The following is a 21178-nucleotide window of genomic DNA, read 5'->3' on the forward strand; positions in this document are numbered from 1 at the left end:
GAACCAGTAAAGTGTTGCTTGGAGGAGACAGGTGAGCAGAGCAGTAGAGGGAATTGTTGTTTGGAAAGATCAGGAAAATAAGACTGTCTCCAAGTTCCTTAACAGGTGGTTTTTGTCAAATTGAGGTGGGGGGAGTTAAGTGGCTATTTCATTAAATTGATTGGTCAATTTAGTCAAAATGGACAATTTGGTAAGCTTGTATAGACCCAGTCAGAGTCGTTTTTGGAGGCTCTTTAACAACCCGGATCTAATCCAGTCTATGTGTCCAGTCCCTGGTAGTGAGTGTATTTTCTCTCTTTCTCTCTCTCTCTCTGTATCTAAGTATGTTTTTTATGTGTCTATCTATGTATTGACTTTAAATATCAAATTTCACTTCCTGGTTTCAAGTACATATATCTATTTCTCACTTTCTTGCCATAGTACAGGAGCTGATTTAGTGAGATCAAAATTTATTTTAAAAATATGGTCTCCCACTACAACCATGCTTGACTAGCTTCGCATTTATGGCTGGGCGCAGTGGCTCACACCTGTAATCCCAGCACTTTGGGAGGTCAAGGCAGGTGGATCACGAGGTCAGGAGTTCAAGACTGGCCTGACCAATATGGTGAAACCCTGTCTTTACTAAAAATACAAAAATTAGCTGGGCGTGGTGATGCGTGCCTGTAGTCCCAGCTACTCGGGAGGCTGAGGAAGGAGAATCACTTGAACCCAGGAGGCGGAGGTTGCAGTGAGCAGAGATGGCGCCACTGCACTCCAGCATGGGTGACAGAGTGAGAATCCATCTCAAAAAAAAAAAAAAAAAAAGGAAGAAGACTATGCATTTAAAATAAAAATAATACATCTCTGTTGATGGATGACTTGGGACAGTTTTCACGAGAACTTAAAATGATTTTTGCTATTTTGCAGCATATATTTTAATTGAAAGACATCCATGCACACTTTCCACAACAAATAATTATAGGGTAGTCAAACACAATAGAACATTCAAACATTTATTATTCAGTAACGAGGTTATATACGAACAGGAAGCCAAAACTTCTCCAATGGTTAGCTACTTGTAAAGGTAACTCTATAATTAGGTACATTCTACAATTTCATATAGCACCTAGTTACTGAGTAAATATTCATGCAAGTGTCCAATTATTTTTGAATTGCCCTATATTGTCACAGTTACATGATCAAAAATGAAAGGAATAAAAAATACTACATGCAAGCAGTAGAAAATAGATCATTTAGTGGCCTTTCCTTCATACTTTTATTTCATTTCTTTACTTGTGAGAATTCCAAAATGTATCCTCTTCTTGTAAATACTGACGCAAGCATTCTTATACCTACTAGTTAACCAGAACTGAAAACTACAACTCCCAAGAAGCTCAGCAGCATCCTGATACAATGATAGCTGGCAGTAAAGAAAACAGTTTAAATATTTTGTAGTGATATCATTCTCTCTTTGGATATGTGGCACAAGAGTACATTTTTTTTTGATACACAGTAAGCATAAAACCTGATAAGCAAGCTGAAATCAAACCAATGAAGGAAAGTTCTCATTTTCAATTATGCTCTTGACAAGGTGTGTTTTATTTTGCTTTTTAATCGTTTATTTTTTAAGGATGTGAGTTTTAAATGTACACTCTTTTAAAATATGAATGTAACTATGTATTTTACCTATAATAATACATGTCACCCGGGAGCATTTCAATTTTTTAAAGGCACTTAGAATTTCACAAAGAGTTGGAATTTTGAATACCAAAATAAGAATTCATGTTTTCCAGCTGAGATAAAGCTTTCTGATGGGTGGAATACATTACAGGTCCAAAAAATGCAGTGGTGAGAATAAATAAAATAAATTGCTTTCCAACTGCTGTCTTAGTTTTCTTTCCCCCAGCATTAGATGGTATGCATCATGTAATAAGAGCAAGTCCGTTAAGTGTTTTTGCTCTCTGTAATATCAGGCTGCTGGTGATGGACAGAATTGTGTTATAAATAGGGAGTGGATGTGGAAGTTGTTGTTATAAAATCACTTTTTCTCCACTCATTGGAAAATAAGTTCACTTATAGTTATGCTACCATGGGGTAGTTAAACTTTTAACTCATGGAAACATTCTATTAGACCTGACAATATTATGCATTTTATTTGTTTATTAACATAGTGCTTAAAACTACATGTTTGTTACTAAAGATTACACGCCAAACAGGAGATATACAGAAATAGCCTCCTTCTATATATGAAGGACGAGAAATGACAAATCCATCTGCAATTTAAATTTTCTTCTATAGGTATTATCTTAGGTCCTCTTTGTGTGTTTTCTCCTATTTTTCTTTGTGTTAGCTCTATCTTTCTTTGTTTTAGCTGGCTTGTGCAATATGAAGACTCTGCCTTGCTTATAGCTCCTCAGCGGAGGCAGCCTTAATAACATCAGTGTCATTTTGTTTCTCCTCCTGATGTGCCTTTGTTTGATAGGCAGTTTCATTTGGTGTCATTGTTTAGCTTAAGCAGTTGGCACCTGGGGAAGTCTATGGAAACCTTCAATTCGTCAAATCAGGACTGACTGGCAAAAATATCGCTTGCTGATACAGACAGTCCCATATTTGGTTACTCAAAAATTGAACATGTATTTCAGTCTTGATTGGAAAGGAAGTCTTTGAAAGACATGCAGCTGCCAAGGTAGGGGGAGGTGCAGAGAATGGCTGGAGAGGTTTAGGTGGGGAAATCTTCAAACAGAGATGACTTAAGGTATCCAATATTTGCAGTCTTTAAAAAGGGGGTATTTGAGAAGTGACAAAGAGCCTGATACTTTACGGAAAAAGTGGACACTGATTATACAAGAGCCCTGATTATATAAATACTAAAAATTGACTCAATCAGTTGAGTATTTTCAATTCATGACATCAAACAACTGATCTGGCCATCTCCACCCCACCTCAAACCCTAAGGTGACGAAAAGGAATGGTTGTATATACAAACTTTTATCCCACTCTTCAGTGTCTCAGGTTTTATGCCGATGGCCACAGGTCAGGACATGGATGTAATTGCATCTAGCGACATCAATGTGCTTTTTGATTAATTTGGTTTTTGTTTATTTGTTTACTTTGTCAATTCAGACAAAAGATTCAGCAACTGAGCAGGAAAACATACCACTCAAACCAATCATTTGAGACTGTTGACTTCTTTCCATTTCCCGGAAAGTTCCACAAAACCAACTGCTCCAGCAGCACTACATAGACATAGCCTGATTGTATCACAGGTACCAAGCACAAAGACAGGAATTGGAACTGGAATTTCATATTTGTTAGCAACAAATATTGACAATATGACTCGGTTGGCAGAGACTCTAAGGTTGATTTAGGTTCAATTTTTCATTCATTCAGCCACAATATCTCATCAGCATATACTATGTGGCAGTCACTCTGCTAAAGAGGAACAAGAAAGATCAATTCCTGGAATATAGAGGCATTAAAGAGGAAAATTTCAATACAGTGTAATAAAAAAAAGTGACTCTGCTTTCCACCATGTGAAAAACTGCTTCCCTTCTTTAACCCCTGTTTTCTCTGGCAGGAGGGTTAGTGCTTGCTTTCTACACCTTCTCCCATCAGGTGATGCTTTGAAATTCCAAAATGTTCCAACAGTAACACTTCTATGCTATGTATCTGCACTTCACATCAACTTGAAACTGCCACCGAGTCTGGGAGCATACATGAAGGATTTCTCTGTGGCTAGTTCCACAAAGGAAATCAATTGTGCTCCAGTTCTGCACCTGTGGGATGGCTTTGCTTGTAGAATATACTCCTGCCTGTGAAGTGCAAAAGGACCTCTAATGGGCAGGCTTTCTAGCCACAGCTGGGGAGATAGGTTTGCTCTTTCTCTTCTCCTGCATCTGCACAATGCATGCAGATACCCCAGCCACGTCTCCCCATTAAGCACAGCTTGAGACACTATAACAATCATTGCTACTTCAGAAGTCACCAAGTAGGTGTGCCCTAGTTTGTGTTGAAGTGTCAGCTCCAGGAGCAGTTTGACAAAGCAAAGAACTCCTCAATTCAGTCAATCAAAACAGAAAATATTGTCTTTGGCCAATTATAGAAGTAAATTGTCAACAGGATCATCTTCAATAAGATGAATTGCTCTCTATATCCCTGTATCTCTGTATTCTGTCTCACACACACACACACACACACACACTCTTACACACACATAAACACACTCAGATTTTTCCTTGAAGACTGTGAAACCTTCCTGATTTGGCCCTCAGTAATCTCTTCCTCTGACCCATTTATTGTCCAACTCACTACTAGACAGTTTGACTCTAGTTATAATGTTGCTAATTCAAGTCCCATTTTCCTCTTGCATCCTACATCTAATCTGTAAGTAAATGCTTTCGGCTCTACCTTCAAAATATATTCAGAGTTTGACAACTTCACACTATCTCTGCAGCTACAATCCTGGTCAAAGCCACCATCACCTCCCCTGAATTACTGAAATAATTTCCTAACTGGCATTACTGTTTCTATTCTTGACCCTTTATAATACATTTTATAAATAGCATCCAGAATTGTTCTTTTAAAACATAAGGTAGATTATGTTATTCCTTGGCTCAAAATGTGCTATTGCCTTCTCATTGTTCTTAGACATAAATTATTGACTATGGCCTCCAGGGCCCAATGTAATTTGTCCATGCCTAGTCTCTCATCCCATTTTGTATGATTTCCCCTCTGTCACTAAACTCCATCCAGCCCCGTTGGTCTTCTTTTGGTTTCTCAGGGCCTTTGTACTAGTTATTCTTTATGTCGTTCTGAAACTCACTGCCCTCAGATTTTCTCAAGGCTTATTTTCTCGCTTTACTTTCATATCAGCTCAAATGAACCATATCCTTCTCATCATACAGGTTGCAGCTCAAGAAACACCTCCTCCCAGCACTTTGGGAGGCTGAGGCGGGTGGATCACAAGGTCAGGAGATCGAGACCATCCTGGCTAACAGGGTGAAACCCCGTCTCTACTAAAAATACAAAAAATTAGCCGGGCGTGGTGGCAGGCGCCTGTGGTTCCAGCTACTCGGGAGGCTGAGGCAGGAGAATGGCATGAACCCGGGAGGTGGAGCTTGCAGTGAGCCAAGATTGCGCCACTACAGCACTCCAGCCTGGGTGACAGAGCGAGACTCTGTTTCAAAAAAAAAAAAAAAAAAAAAAAGAAAAAAGAAACACCTCCTCAGAAAAGTTTACCCTGACTGCCCTATGTACGGTAAATTTCCTCTCCAATTTACAAATCGTAAAAGTCAATTACTTGTTATCGCGTTACTATTTTATTATCATTACATTACTTATAACTATTTGAAATTTTCTTATTTATTTATTCCTTCTTATTTATTGTCTCCCCAGCCATTTTCTACAATGTGCATTCCATGAATATAAACATTCTGTCTACCTTGTTAATTACTGTATCCCTGCCACCTAGAACAGTTCATGACATATAGTATGTATGCAGTCAGTATTGTTGAATGAATAAATAGATGCTATGTAGAAAGCACAATTATGCATAGAATTGATGTTTAAAAAAGAAAATTAGATTAATAAATAATCTGAACAATGCATATGGAAATGTTGTTTCAAAGTAAGAATTTCCTTCTGTTTTGGTAAAGTATAGCAGAAAAAGCCAGAAGATAAACTGCAGTGGTTCACCACTGATATAGTTTGGATTTTTGTTCCCTCCAAATCTCATGTTAAAATGTAATCCCCAATGTTGGAGGTGGGGCCTGGTGGCAGTTATTGGATCATGGGGTCAAACCCCTCATTAATGTCTGAGTTCCATCCACTTGGTGATGAGTGAAGTCTTGCTCAGTTCATTCACATGAGCTCTGCTTGCTTATTTATTTATTTATTGTTCCTTTTTATTTATTTATTTATTTTTGAGATGACGTTTCACTCTTGCCCGGGTTGGAACACGATGATGCAATCTCAGCTCACTGCAACCTCCATCTGCCAGGTTCAAGTGATTCTCCTGCCTCAGCCTCCCGAGTAGCTGGGATTACAGGTGTCTGCTACCATGCCTGGCTAATTTTGTATTTTTAGTAGAGACAGGGTTTCACCATGTTGACCAGGCTGGTCTTGAACTCCTGACCTCAGCTGATCCACCTGCCTCAGCCTCCCAAAGTGCTGGGATTACAGGTGTGAGCCACCATGCCCGGCCTTTATTTTTATTTTTTAATTTTTAATTTCCATAGGTTTTTGGAGAACAGGTGGAGTTGGGTTACATGAATATGTTCCTTAGTGGTGATTTCTGAGATTTGGGTGCACCCATCACCCAAGCAGTATACACTGTACTCAATTTGTAGTCTTTTATCCCTCACCTCCCCCCCACCCTTTCCTGCCGAGTTCCCAAAGTCCATTGTATCATTCTTATGCCTTTGCACCTTATAAGTTAGCTCCCACTTAGGAGTGAGAACATATGGTGTTTGGTTTTCCATTCCTGAGTCACTTCACTTGGAATAATGGTCCCCAGTTCCATTGCAAAAGCCATTATTTAATTCCTTTTCGTAACTGAGTAGTATTCCATGTTATGTATATACCACAATTTCTTTATCCACTCATTGATTGATGGGCATTTGGGCTGGTTCCATATTTTTGCAATAGTGAATTGTGCTGCTATAAAAATGCATGTGTAGGCTGGGTGCAGTGGCTCATGCCTGTAATCCAAGCACTTTGGGAGGCTGAGGTGGGTGGATCACCTGAGGTCAGGTGTTCAAGACCAGCCTGGCATCTGTCTTGGAGGCGGGTGGTCACCTTAGGTCAGAAGTTCAAGACCAGCCTGGCCAACATGGTGAAACCCCATCTCTACTAAATATACAAAAATTAGCCAGGTGCAGTGGTGTGTGCCTATAATCCCAGCTACTCGGGAAGCTGAGGCAGGAGAATCGCTTGAACCCGGGAGGTGGAGGTTGCAGTGAGCTGAGATTGTGCCACTGCATTCCAGCCTGGGTGACAGAAAGAGACTCCATTTCAAGAAAAAAAAAAAAAAACAACTGCATGTCTAAGTATTATTTTCGCATAATGACTTCTTTTCTTCTGGATAGATATCTGGTAGTGGGATTGCTGGATCAAATGGTACTTCTACTTTTAGTTCTTTAAGGAATCGCCACACTGTTTTTCATAGTGTTTGTGCGAGTTTACATTCCCACCAGCAGTGTACAAGTGTTCCCTTTTCACCACATCCCCAATGACATGGTTTGGCTGTGTCCCCACTCAAATGTCATCTTGAATTTAACTCCCACAATTCCCATGTTATGGGGGTGAGTCTTTCCTTCACTGTTCCCATGATAGTGAATGAGTCTCAAGGGATCTGATGGTTTTAGAAATGGGAGTTTCTCTGTGCAAACTCTCTCTTTGCCTGCCACCATCCATGTAAGATGTGACTTGCTCCTTTTTCCACCATGATTGTGAGGCTTCCCCAGCCATATGGAACTGTAAGTCCATTGAACCTCTTTATCATCCCAGTCTCATGTATGTCTTTATCAGCAGCATGAAAATGGACTAATACAGTAAATTGGTACCAGGAGTGGGGTGCTGCTGAAAAGATATCTGAAAATGTGGAAGTGACTTTGAAACTGGGTAGCAGGCAGAGGTTCAAATAATTTGGAGGGCTCAGAAGACAGGAAAATGTGGGAAAGTTTAGAACTCCCTAGACACTTGTTGATTGGCCTTGACAAAAATGCTGATAGCGATATGAACAATAAGCTCCAGGCTGAGGTGGTCTCAGATGGAGATGAAGAACTTGTTGGGTACTGGAGCAAAGGTGGCCCTTGTCATGTTTTAGCAAAGAGACTGGTGGTATTTTGCCCTTGCCCTAGAGATTTGTGGAACTTTGAACTTGAGAGTGATGATTTAGGGTATTTGGCAGAAGAAATTTCTAAGCAGTAAAGCATTCAAGAGGTAACTAGGGTGCCGTTAAAGGCATTCAGTTTTATAAGGGAAGGAGAGCACAAAAGTTTGGAAAATTTGCAACCTGAGAATGTGATAGAAAAGAAAATCCCATTTTCTGAGGAGAAATTCAACCCAGCTGCAGAAATTTGCATAAGTAACAAGGAGCCAAATGTTAATCTCTAAGACAATGGGGAAAATGTCTCCACAGCATGTCAGAGGTCTTCACAGCAGCCCCTCCTATCGCAGGCCCTGAGGCCTAGGAGGACAAAATGGTTTCGTGGGCCAGGCCCAGGTTGCCCATGCTGTGTGCAGTCTAGGGACTTGGTGCCCTGTGTCCCAGCCACTCCAGCCATGACTAAAAGGGGCCAAGGCACAGCTCAGGCCATGGCTTCAGAGGGTGCAAGCCCCAACCCTTGGCAGTTTCCATGTGGTGTTGAGCCTGCGGGGGCACAGAACGATATGGTTTGGCTGTGTCCCCACCACCCAAATCTCATCTTGAATTGTAACTTCCTCAATTCCCATGTTTCATGGGAGGAAGCCAGTGGGAGGTGATTGAATTATGGAGTTGGGTCTTTCACGCACTGTTCTCGTGATAGTGAGTGAGTCTCACAAAATCCTGCACAAGCTCTCTTTACCTGCCACCATCCAAGTAAGACGTGACTTGCTTCTCCTTTCCTTCCACCATGATTGTGAGGTCTCCCCAGCCATGTGGAATTGTAAGTCCATTAAACCTCTTTTTGTTCCCAGTCTCGGGCATGTCTTTATCAGCAGCATGAAAACAGACTAATACACCTGCCATATGATTGTATACCTAGAAAACCCTAAAGACTCCTCCAAAATGTTCCTAGAACTGATAAATGAATTCTGCAAAGTTTCAGAATATAAAATTAATGTAGACAAATTAGTAGCTCTGCTGTACACCAACAGTGACCAAGCAGAGAATCAAATCAAGAACACAACCCCTTTCACAATAGCTGCAAAAAAAAAAAAAAAAAAAAGAAAAAACACAAAAATACTTAGGAATATACCTAACCAAGGATGTGAAAGACCTCTACAAGTAAAACTACAAAACACTGCTGAAAGAAATCATAGATGACACAAACAAATGGAAACATCCCATGCTCAGGGGTGGGTAGAAACAATATTGTGAAAATGACCATACTGCCAAAAGCAATTTTCAAATTCAATGCAATTTCCATCAAAATACCACCATCATTCTTCACAGAACTAGAAAAAAACATCCAAAAATTCATAAGAAACCAAAAAAGAGCCTGCATAGCAAAGCAAGACTAAGCAAAAAGAAAAAATTGAGAGACATCACATTACCTGACTTCAAACTATACTATAAGGCCATAGTCATCAAAACAACATGGTACTGGTATAAAAATAAGCACATAGACCGATGGAACAGAATAGAGAACCCAGAAATAAAGCCAAATACTTACAGCCAACTGATCTTTGACAAAGCAGACAAAAACATAAAGTGAGGAAAGGACAGTCTATTCAACATATGGTGCTGGGGTAATTGGCAAACCACATGTAGAATAATGAAACTGGATCCTCATCTCTTACCTTATACAAAAATCAACTCAAGATGGATCAAAGACTTAAACCTTATACCTGAAATGATAAAGATTCTACAAGATAACATAGGAAGAACCCTTCTAGACATTGGCTTAGGCAAAGACTTTATGACCAAGAACCCAAAAGCAAATGCAACAAAAACAAAGGTAAATAGATGGGACTTAATTAAACTAAAAAGCTTCTTCACAGCAAAAGAAACAATCTTAAACTAAAAAGCTTCTTCACAGCAAAAGAAACAATCAGCAGTGCTAACAACCCACAGGTAGGGAGAAAATCTTTGCAATCTATATATCTGACAAAGGACTAATATCTAGAATCTACAAGGAACTCAAACAAGTGAGCAAGAAAAAAACAACCCCATCAAAAAGTGACCTACGTACACGAATAGACAATTCTCAAAAGAAGATATACAAATGGCCAACAAACATGAAAAAATGCTCAATATCACTAATGACCGGGGAAATGCAAATCAAAACCACAATGTGATACCACCTTACTCCTGCAAGAATGGCCATAATCAAAAAATAAAAGGTCCGGTTATTTAAAAGAGTGTGGCACCTCATCCCCTACTCTCTCTCTTCCTCTTGCTCTCACCATGTGACATGTTGGCTCCCTGTTGCTTTCTGCCATGATTGTAAGATTCCTGAGACCTCATCAGAAGCAGATGCTAGCACCATGCTTCCTATAAAGCCTGCAGAACTATGAACCAATTAAACTTCTTTTCTTTATAAATTAAACAGGCTGTTATTTCTTTGTAGCAATGCAAGAACAGACTGACACAGAAAACAAGGAGGGGGACATTGCTATAAAGATACCTGAAGATGTGGAAGCTGCTTTAGAGCTTGGTAATGGGCAGAGTTTGGAGGGCTCAGAAGAAGACAGGATGATGGGGGAAAGTTTAAAACTTCTTAGAGACTGGTTAAATTGTTGTGACCAAAATGCTGATAGAAATATGGGCTGGGCACAGTGGCTCACGCCTGTAATCCCAGCACTTTGGGAGGCCAAGGCGGGCAGATCACCTGAGGTCAGGAGTTCAAGACCAGCCTGGCTAACATGGTGAAACACCATTTCTACTAAAAATACAAATAATTAGGCCAGGCATGGTAGCATGCACCTGTAATCCCAGCTACTCAGGAGGCTGAGGCAGGAGAATCGCTTGAACCCAGGAGGCAGAGATGGCAGTGAGCCAAGATCATGCCATTGCACTCCAGCCTGGGCAACAAAGTGAGACTTGGTAAGAAAGAAAAAAAGAAAAGGAAAGGAAGGAAGGAAGGAAAGAAGGAAGGAAGGAAGAAAGCCAGGCTGACAAGGACTCAGATGGAAGTGGGGAAGCTATTGAGAAATGGAGTAAACGTTATCCATGTTATGCTGTAGCAAAGAACTTTGCTGTATTGTGTCCATGCCCTAGGGAATCAGTGGAAGTTTGAACTTAAGAGGGATGACCTAGGGTATCTGGCAGAAGAAATTTCCAAGCAGCAAAGCACTGAAGAAGTGACATGGCTGCTTCTAACAACCTACAATCAGAGACAAGAGCAAATAAACGACTTAAAATTGAAACTTATATTTAAAAGGGAGGCAAAGCATAAAAGTTTAGAAAATTTGCAGCCTAGCCATGTGGAAGAGAAAGAAAAAAGCATTTTCAGGAAAAAAATTCAAACAGGCTATGGAGCAACCACTTGCTACAATGATGGGAGGGGCTACTGCAAGGGTCTCTGAAATGCCTTCAAGGCCTTTTCCCTGTTTTCTTGGCTATCAGCACTGGGCTCCCTTTTAGTTATGCTGGATCCCTGTTGCCTTCTGCCACGATTGTAAGTTCCCTGAGGCCTCATCAGGAACTGAGCAGTTGCTGGTACCATGCTTCCTGTACAGACTGCAAAACTGTAAGCCAAGTAAACCTCTTTTCTTTATAAATTACCCAGCCTCAGGTATTTCTTTATAGCAATGCAAGAACAAACTGACACAACCACTGATAATAATGTTAATAATTTCACTGTGACAGCATGCCAAAAGCTATTGGTATTCCACCTACCATCAATTAAATGGTCCCTAAAAAGTGGTAAGTTCCCTAAGGAGAACCCTGAAACTTTTCCCCAGTGCCCACTTTTCTACCTCTTCTGAGACTGAGCTCCCTTCTCTATAAGTGCCAAGTCCTAAAGACAGACATGGCATGACATAACAGGGAATAATTTGTTGTGGGAAAACCCCCTCCAGTTAAGCACCATATTTACTACTCCTTTGTTTTAATTCCACATTACCATCAAAATAAAGCCAAAAAGGAGGGAGATTATAGTGGGTGCTGTCACCCAAATTCTCCATTCAGTACTGAAGGAATCATTTTCACTACTGCTGAGAGTGTTGGCTGTTAATGACTCACCGCTGAGTCCCTCTCTGGGATCTGGCCTCATCTGAAGAGAAAAAGCTCACCCAGAGTTGTATCCTCTCTCTGAAGAGGAGTCCACATCTAGTGACTGTGACATAGGACTACAGCTCCTGGCTTCCTTGCATCAGTTTAGGACAAATTTGAAGGGTTATCTCAACTCCAAAACCCCATAAGGAACTGGCTGAAGCCTCTGCTGCAACTGCATGGTAGTCCAAAACGTCTCTGTATCTAAATATTCTTTCCTGATTATCTTAGAAATCTTATTTCTGAGAGGACTTCCTGAAGAAACCTCCTCATACAGATATTCATTTTAGAGGGTATTGACTGAGGAATATGACTTAAGACTGGGTTCTAGGAGTAGACCTAGAAAGAAAACTCTAAAGTGGCATTTTAGAGGTGGATTATCCATCAGCCAGCTTGGAGTGGGAACCATTTCACTGGGGGCAGGTGGAATACTAACTGCTTTTGGCATTCTGTAGGCAGTGAAATTGTTTATGCATCTTTTGGCAGTGAACTGGGATGGAATACCAGAGAAAGAGAACACGTTGGTAAGTACAACATCTTGTATGTTTCAGCATTTGGGTGAGGTAGTAATTATAAGGACTAGGGATTGAATGGCTTTTGCTAGACGCTATTCATGCTTTGGACAAAAACAATGAAAGGATAAGGAGGTCTAGTAATTGATTTAAGATGGAGTGTGAATGGCAAATATCTTTGCCAACATATAAAGAGGCACTCATTTCTTTCAGCTGGAAGGCAGAAAAAGCTGGTGATCAGGCCCAGGACTTAATTATAAAGCATCTCAGAGTCCAGAGAAGGTTGAATTTTCAACCATGGTTAGTCGGCTCTGCCAAGGTCAGGGTATTCATTGGGAAGGAATGGGACCTGAGGCATGGGATAGGTACATCTGGGTCAATGGACTCTAAAATCTTGATTTCCAAGATTCTCCTGATCTCTCTAGGGCTGCAAAAGTTAAAATCCTCCTCCTTGCTAAAATCTAGTGCTCTATCCTGTTTGGAAGATGTTAGATATTTCTGCTTTGGAAAAAAAAAGTATCCTGGCTGGGCATGGTGGCTCACTCTTGTAAGCACTTTGGGAGGCTGAGGTGAGAGGATCACTTTAGCCCTGGAGTTTGAGGCTGCAGTGAGCTACAGTGTGCAACTGTACTCCAGCCTGGGCAACAGAGCAAGACTCTTTCTCAGAAGAAAAAAATACCCTCCCCCCACCACAGAAAACATGTATCCTCTCTCAGAATCCTCACTTCACTTCCTTGCCATGAGACCCCAAACTAAAATCAAGTAACAACATTATCCAGTTAGGGAAGTGCTGGGCCTCTTAAGAGAGGAAAGGGTCTATGTACCAAAGTAGCTGCAGGATCTAGTCAACATGATTAATTGGAGCCAGAACAGTATATGTAAGACTGGATCCTGTGTGTGATGGATCAAAAAAACAAAATGTAAAGTTGGATAAATGTGAGTTTTCTTAATATGGATTACTTTCCCATGATATAGGATTTACTTGGTCAAGGACCCTGGAAGATAGGGCTAATATGTTTCTAAGGTTTCTCTTGGAATCTTTGGAAAATGATTATCCACAAAAAGTGAAGTAAAAACTGCTGGAAATTGCATGAAAGATGATGGAGGAATAAATCAGAACTCTCCAGAACTGGTCATGCCAGGGAAAGGGAACACACTGCAAGACTGGAAAATCTGCCAGCCAAATATTTTCTGAAGAAAGGCTCAGAAGACATTCTATTTAACCAAAGCAATAAAGAATGATGTGCTGGCAAGACAGACACATCCATTACTGAGAAACTTGCTGTCCTATACAGATCAGGGATAACACTGGGAAATGCTGTAATAAAACTGGGCTACTTGATGGCAAAGGTGATGACAGGATCTGGAAATAATTGAGGCCAGATGTCATTGATTTACTATCAGGAGCAAAGTGGGCGCAATTATTGTAGAGAACAGCAAGGTCAGAGTGGCAGCCAAGGGGTCCTGACCTGCAGAGAACTATGCAGATAGTTAATAGAACATAGTATTCTAGGAGCAAGATAGATGGGAACCCAACAAGATTTTTGCCTAATTGACACAACCAAAAAAACAAAACAAAACAAAAAAAAAAAAAACAAAGATGGATGACCAGAAAGGGCAGCTTTCCCAATAAAATATATGATCTCTTGCCCAATTTCCATTCCTAAGCCTGTTCTCATATCCAACACCAAAGCAAGCTGAAAAGCCTATAATGTTTCCTCCAGTCTCTCCCTGAAGTGACTTAAAATTATCTGCTTGAGTAACTATACACTGGGATAAAGGAAATACTTAAGTATTTTGAAGTTTGTTTGGATCAGTTGACATTGCTAACAGGACACCAGAAGTGTCATTGTGGCTTCTCTGTTGGAGTGGGAGCATATATAAACCAGGTAATAAGTGGAGTCCTGGTTCAGGTTTAGCTCACAGTAGGTCCACTATATCTATAGATTCACCTTGGGGTCACTACCCCAGTCTACAAATGTATAATTAGAATGGTTATACATGATACTTGGAAGAATCCCAACATCAGGTCTTTGTTCTGTGGGGTAAAAGCTATCATAGTGGGAAGGCTAAGTGCAAACCTCTGGATAACTCCCTCTCTCTCTTATCCCCAGTCAAGACAGTAAATCAAAAATAAAATTACTTCCTGGAAGAATGACAGAGATTATTGCCTCCCTTAAAACTCTGAAGGATGCAGAAATGTGAGTCCTTACCATATTCTCATTGATTTACCATTCTGGTTCGTATGAAACCAACTACACACTGGAGGGCTAAAGTGGATTATGGTAAACTCAATTAGGTAGTATCCCCAATCACAACTGCTGATCTAGATAATGGTATTTTTGCTGGAGCATATTAACATAACTTCAGGTACATGGTATATGGGAAAGTTTGGAACTCCCTAGATACTTGTTGAATGCCTTTGACCAAAATCCTGATAATGATATGGACAATGAAATGCAGGCTGAGGTGGTCTCAGATGGAGATGAGAAACTTGTTGGGAACTAGAGCAAAGGTCACTCTCTTGTTATGTTTTAGCAAAGAGACTGGTGGCATTTTGCCCCTGCCCTAGAGATTTGTGGAACTTTGAAATTGAGAGAGATGATTTAGGGTATGTGGCAGTAGATACTTCTAAGCAGCAAAGCATTCAAAAGGTGACTTGGGTGCTGTTAAAGGCATTCAATTTTATAAGGGAAGCAGAGAATAAAAGTTTGGAAAATTTGCAGCTTGAGAATGTGATAGAAAAGAAAGTTCCATTTTCTGAGGAGAAATTCAAGCCAACTGCATAAATTTGCATAAGTAACGAGGAACTGAATGTTAATCCCCAAGACAATGGGGAAACTGTCTCCAGGGCATGTCAGAGGTCTTCACGGCAGCCTCTCCCATCATAGGCCTGGAGGTCTAGGAGAAAAAAATGGTTTCATGGGCAAGGCTCAGGGTCCCCATGCTGTGTTTAGTCTAGGGACTTGGTGCCCTGCCTCTCAGCCACTCCAGCCATGACTGAAAGGGGCCAACATGGAGCTTGGGCCATGGCTTCAGAGGGTGCAAGCTCCAAACCTTGGCAGCTTCCATGTGGTGTTGAGGATGTGAATGCACAGAAGTCAAGAACTGGCATTTGGGATCTCCACCTAGATTTCAGAGGATGTATGGAAACACCTGGATGCCCAGGTAGAAGTTTGCTGCAGGGGTGGGGCCCTCATGGAGAACCTCTACTAGGGCAGTATGGAAAGGAAATGTGGGGTTGGTGCCCCCGCACAGAGTCCCTACTGGACACTGCCTAGTGTAGCTATGCGAAGAGGGCAACTATCCTCCAGACCCCAGAATGGTAGATCCACTGACAGCTTGCACCGTGAGCCTGGAAAAGTCACACTCAACTCTAGCCCATGAAAGCAGCTGGGAGGGAGGCTGTACCCTGCTGAGCCACAGGGGCAGAGCTGCCCAAGACCATGTGAACCCACCTTTTGCATCAGCATGACCTGGATATGAGACAAGGAGTCAAAGGAGATCATTTTGAAGCTTTAAGATTTGACTGCCCTGCTGGATTTCAGACTTGCATGGGGCCTGTAGCTCCTTTGTTTTGGCCAATTTCTCCCTTTTGGAATGGCTGTATTTATCCAATACCTGTACCCCCATTGTATCTAGGAAGTAACTAATAAACTAATAACAAAGTTTGACTTGCAATCTCAGGTGCTATGGTTGAATTGAGCTGCTCCATGAAAATGATTTCTTTCATGTTTTTGAAATTAGTATTCTCAGACATTTGTTTTTCAGATAGTATTTTTTAATTTAATGTAATTTGCCAAAGAACAACTGGCTTCTGGTTTCAAATAAAATGTTTCCATGTGTCTTATTCTAACAAAAACAAGAGAAAAGTTTTATTATAAGCCTGCCTGTAACTTGCTGGATGATTTTACCAAATTATCTTTATCTTCTGTGCTTGATGTTACCTCTCTTTATAATGAAAATAGCAGAGAGGCAGAGGACTTTAGGAATACTTACAGAGAAACTTTAATTTCCAAAAGTATCTGAGGATAAATACAAAGACTATTATAAACCCAAGATTCTAGAACAGAAAATAAAAAGACAGTCATCTATACATAGATGACAGCATGTTGAAGCAAATATCAACCCTTTACATGAATATAGTGCTTTATAGATTATAAAGAGTGTTTATATACCAGTGATTGTCTAGGTGGATGCTATAATCATTCCTCTTTTATAAACAGGAAGGCTGAAGCTGAGAGAGGTTAAGATTCTTAATCAATATCTCCTGGGTAATAACAACATAACTGGGAACCTAGGTTTTCTGATTAGAAAGTTCAGGAATGTTTTCACTACACTAAAGTTGTATTTTGAAATGCAAGCAGGAAAGATAAGTTTCAGTTAAGTTTCTTTAACATAAGTAAGTTAAAGAACATTTCAGAAAACATTAGGGAAGAAGAAAAATATCTAAACAGATATTTTCAGAAATGAATGTAGTTTTGAAATGTTTTTCTCATTTAAAAATTTTAGCTGACATTTATAAAATGATTTGATCATCCCAAATTCTTTTTTCAGAAAATCCAAGGCAACACAGAAGTAATATTTACTGGGAGCCTACTTTGACACGGAAGTAATATTTATTGGGAGCCTACTTTGTGTCAAGCACTGTGCAAGGTGCTTTACAGAAAAAGTTCATGCAATTGTCATAGTCACCCTATTATTTTACAGGTAGGAAAATTGAGGTTCAGAGATAATAAATTACTTGCCTAAAGTTCCAAAGCTTATAAGGAGCAGCACTGAGATTTCAGCCCAGGTTGTCTGACTCCAAAGTCCCTGTTACAATTATGAATCAATCATTTGATCCAGTAGTATTTAAGTGGCACTAATTATGAGCTCAGCATTTTGAGGATCAACATAAGAAATATAAGATAGAATCCCAGCCCTCAGAAAATCAACAACTTATCTGGAGAGAAAAAAAAAGGGATTAGAACAAATTGTTGAATTATGTAGTATAGACTTGTATTCAAAAATATGGTCCCTGCCACCAAGTAGGGTGGCTCATGCCTGTAATTTCAGCACTTTAGGAGGCTAAGGCAGGTGGATCTCTTGAGCCCAGGAGTTCGAGACCAACTTGGGCAACATAACCAGACTCTTTGTCTACAAAAAACACATTAAAAAATAGCTGGGCGTGGTGGCATGCACCTGTAGTCCCAGCTACCCAGGAGGCTGAAGTGGGAAGATCACCTGAGCCTGGGAGGTTGAGGCTGCATTGAGCTGTGATCATACCACTGCACTTCAGCCTCTGTGACAGAAAGAGACCCTGTCTCAAAAACAAAAACCAACCAACCAACCAAACAAACAAAAACATGGTCCACGGATCACCTGCAGCAATTTTATCAGCTGGAAGCCCAATAGAAATACAGAATCTTAGGCCCTCTGCTCAGGTCTACCCAATTACAGTCTGCATTTTAATAAGAACCTTGAGTAACTTGTATGCACAGTAAAGTTCGAGAAGTTTGTGTATGGATTATCAATTCCTGCCTAGGGAATAGGCAAGAAAGATGTCAAGAAAGAGATGCTGCAACTGGGCTTTGAAGGCAGGGGTGATGTGACTCTCCCTATCTCCTTCAAGTTGTCTTATCTCCAGTGGGTCTGGCAAGGCTACTCTGAGAGTAGTGATAGGGGAGAGAAGGGAAGGTAGGGAAGGATTCCAGGGAAGTAGTACAAGCAACTGAAAAGTGAAGGAGTTGGTGACGATAATCAGGGAGTTCAGATTCCACCAATAGGAAGAGAGAATGTAAAGGTATTATTTACACCCTTACCCTGCATCACTCCCCATCCTCTCCTCAGGTGGTAGGCTGGAGGCAGTCTGGTTTGTATGTTGCTGTATGTCATTGGATGTGTAAATACATGCATAAACCTCCACCTCAGGACTTCTTTAATGCTATAGGCCTAATTGGTGCATTTTAATAATAAAGTCTTTTTTTCAAATAAACTCATATCCTAAAGCTGTATTTTCTTTGATAAAGCTCAGCCACAACTGGTCCTCAATAAAATTTACATTTGCTCTAGGGACTAAGAACATTAAATATCTTTCTCTTAACTGAGCACCATTCTAATTAGGGAGAAATTGCATTAGGGAGCCATGTGACTATCTGAGAAGAGCACATTCATTCCTGATTTTGATATTTTAAAATATAGCAGATTGCAGAAATGCAGATTACGATGTGGATATAGTGTTAAAATTGCTTTTGCCATTATAAAGATAAAAATAGCTCTTGGCTCAAATTTCCTGCTGCTTCTTTCTAAATGAAGGAGTTAAATACTGAAAGGCAGGTGGATGCTGACGCTTCTTTAGAAAGAGATGAATAGGGTTGATGGCAGGAGCTACAGGGAAGCTATTGAGGCTGCAGATGCATATGCTGCCCTTACTTCCCACAAAGTTCAAAGTGGGGTGAAGCTGCCCGGGTAATTGGCTATGAAATAGCAAACCCTCTGGATGAAAATGGCCCTTGTACTTAATTGCCCACGTTCTGGGCAGCGGGTAGCCACCTGGTTGATTAGTGACCCTACCTATATTTACAACCACCGAAGTTTAAGTGTGAGTATGATTGTTAAGACACTGGCACCAAGTTCAATCGGGGGCCTTGGAATTTCAATCAGTTCTGACCACTTCATGTCCAAGTCCTTCACCTTCCAGACCCAAGCAGATGGTCCTACAAAGCCCCAAGGTAAAAGCCCATTTTACAATTGAACAGAATGAAGACATGCATATTTGTAAAATAGCAAGTACAATAGCAACAACTGTGATGAGAAAGAGGCATTTTATTTGTATAGCACTTAGCAATTTGCCAAGCACTTTTCTTGAAATTCTTATTCTGGTCTTCACAAAAGCTTGTAACAGAGGGTTTATTGTGTTCATTTTTTAGATGGATAAATTAAGATCCAGTGAAGGTAAGTGAGTTTTGCAAGGCTGCACAACTAGTAGGCAACATAACTGGCACTCATATTTGGATCTTTTGACACAAAATCCAATCTCTTTTTTACAGCAGTAATTTACCTTAACTGTATCCACTCTCGCAGTTCTGCAGGATCTAATTTATGTCTGCTTTAGCCACAGAACACCTTTGGGTAGGAGATACCCACGTGTGAAACATACCCAGGTTTACATTGGCTTCTGGTGAATTGGCCAATCACAATGTCTGCCTTGTATTCCCTAATAGTCAAGTTCTATAGTCCGTTCTAAAGTAGTAACAATGGCTAATACTGTGTGCTGAGTGTTGCACTAAGCACTTCACATTTATTAACTCATTTAAAGCTTTACCTTACAACAACCCTACAAGGTAGGTATTGTTTTGTATCCACATTTCACAATTGAGGAATCTGAGGCAGAGAGAGGTTAAGTAATTTGTTCGTAGTGGAACTCCCTAGTGTGGTCCGAATCTATGCTTTCAGCACTATACAAAATCATCTGTCTATGGCAGAATTCAGAAATCCATCCATGGGTACAAGACATTCACACTCCCAGATCTTTTCCAAATCAATCCTGCTAATGCCCCAGAGCTGTGCATTCCCTTTATTGAACTGGGAGTGGAAAGTGTGAGGCTAGATGGCTAGGTAATTGCTATGCCGAAGTGAAAGAAGAGAAGAAACTAAAATTACAAAAAGAAAAACAAAACCCATTTAAAATGGCACCTCTATGGTACCAGGTACTATATTAGTCAATTCACTAATGTTTTCTTCTTTCATTTAAACCAAACTATTATAAAACCTATTTTTCAGGTGAGGAAATAGGCTCAGTGAGGTTAAGTTGCCTAACACAACCTGTAGTTCCATAATTGCATCCCAAACAGTCCGATATCAGAGCTTGAACACTGAACCACTCTATCAAAGTTACATAATGACAACCATTAAACATTACCACTTAATGGGCACATACCACGTGCCAGGCACTGCCTTGAATGCTTTCTCTACAATGGGTCACTTAATTCTCAGGACAACCCTATGAGGCTGGTCTTATAATTATCCCCATTCCAAAGAAAGAAAACTGACTCATACCCACTAAGTGTTGAAGCCAGGATTTGAACCCACTTCTCTTTGTTATCAAAGCTCTTTCCAATATAGGGGAAATGGAGAAAGCTGAGCTTTGCACATCACATAGGAATGTACTCCCTGTTTAGATTGGTCAGGGATGCTGCTGGCTATTTGCCTAGCTGATTCCGAGGCTTTAAGGGAAGACTTGAAAAGCAGAGGCTTGGATTTTTTTCCATAATGTAAGGCTTAGAAAAAAAGCAGGGGCTACTACTTCAGCATAACCCTCCTACTGACACATGACAGCTCACCTTGTACCCACCTTTGGGTCCTCATGGCATCTGAGAAATCTTTTTCACCCATGGGTATAATAAAATCTATAAATATAGATATATAAGCGAAAGTGGGCATACATTACTCTTATCTGGTCCTTAAAGCAGGTCTGAGGATTTCTACTTATTAGTTAGTTTTATTTTATTTTGTGTAATTAAAGAAATTAAGCTTATTCTCTACATAGCAGAACAAAACAATACTTTCAAATTCAATCTTTTGATTGATTCAGTCAAATCCCTGCATAATTAGTAAGATTTTTCTGTATTTTGCTTTGTTTTGTGTATAATGTATACTAAAGTTTAGGTTTAAAATTAAAGCACCATCAACATGAAAGCTGGAAATACAATAGCAGTGTTTCCAACAGTTTAAAGTTAAGACATATGTCCTAGAGCCAGATTTTCCAGCTTGAAATCCCAGCTCT

The 21178-nt window shown here is 40.3% G+C and overlaps 2 annotated features.

Moving 5' to 3' along the window:
* Positions 3553–4149: an enhancer, noted in NCBI's record as "OCT4-NANOG hESC enhancer chrX:137012596-137013192 (GRCh37/hg19 assembly coordinates)". NCBI's record gives its function as "activates a minimal SCP1, AML or CMV promoter by ChIP-STARR-seq in primed H9 embryonic stem cells {active_cell/tissue: H9 hESC(primed)}" and the evidence as "EXISTENCE:reporter gene assay evidence [ECO:0000049][PMID:30033119]".
* Positions 18438–19094: an enhancer, noted in NCBI's record as "OCT4-NANOG hESC enhancer chrX:137027481-137028137 (GRCh37/hg19 assembly coordinates)". NCBI's record gives its function as "activates a minimal SCP1, AML or CMV promoter by ChIP-STARR-seq in naive H9 embryonic stem cells {active_cell/tissue: H9 hESC(naive)}" and the evidence as "EXISTENCE:reporter gene assay evidence [ECO:0000049][PMID:30033119]".

The sequence above is a fragment of the Homo sapiens genome, chromosome X (genome assembly GCF_000001405.40).
Source record: "Homo sapiens chromosome X, GRCh38.p14 Primary Assembly".
NCBI lineage: Eukaryota > Metazoa > Chordata > Mammalia > Primates > Hominidae > Homo > Homo sapiens.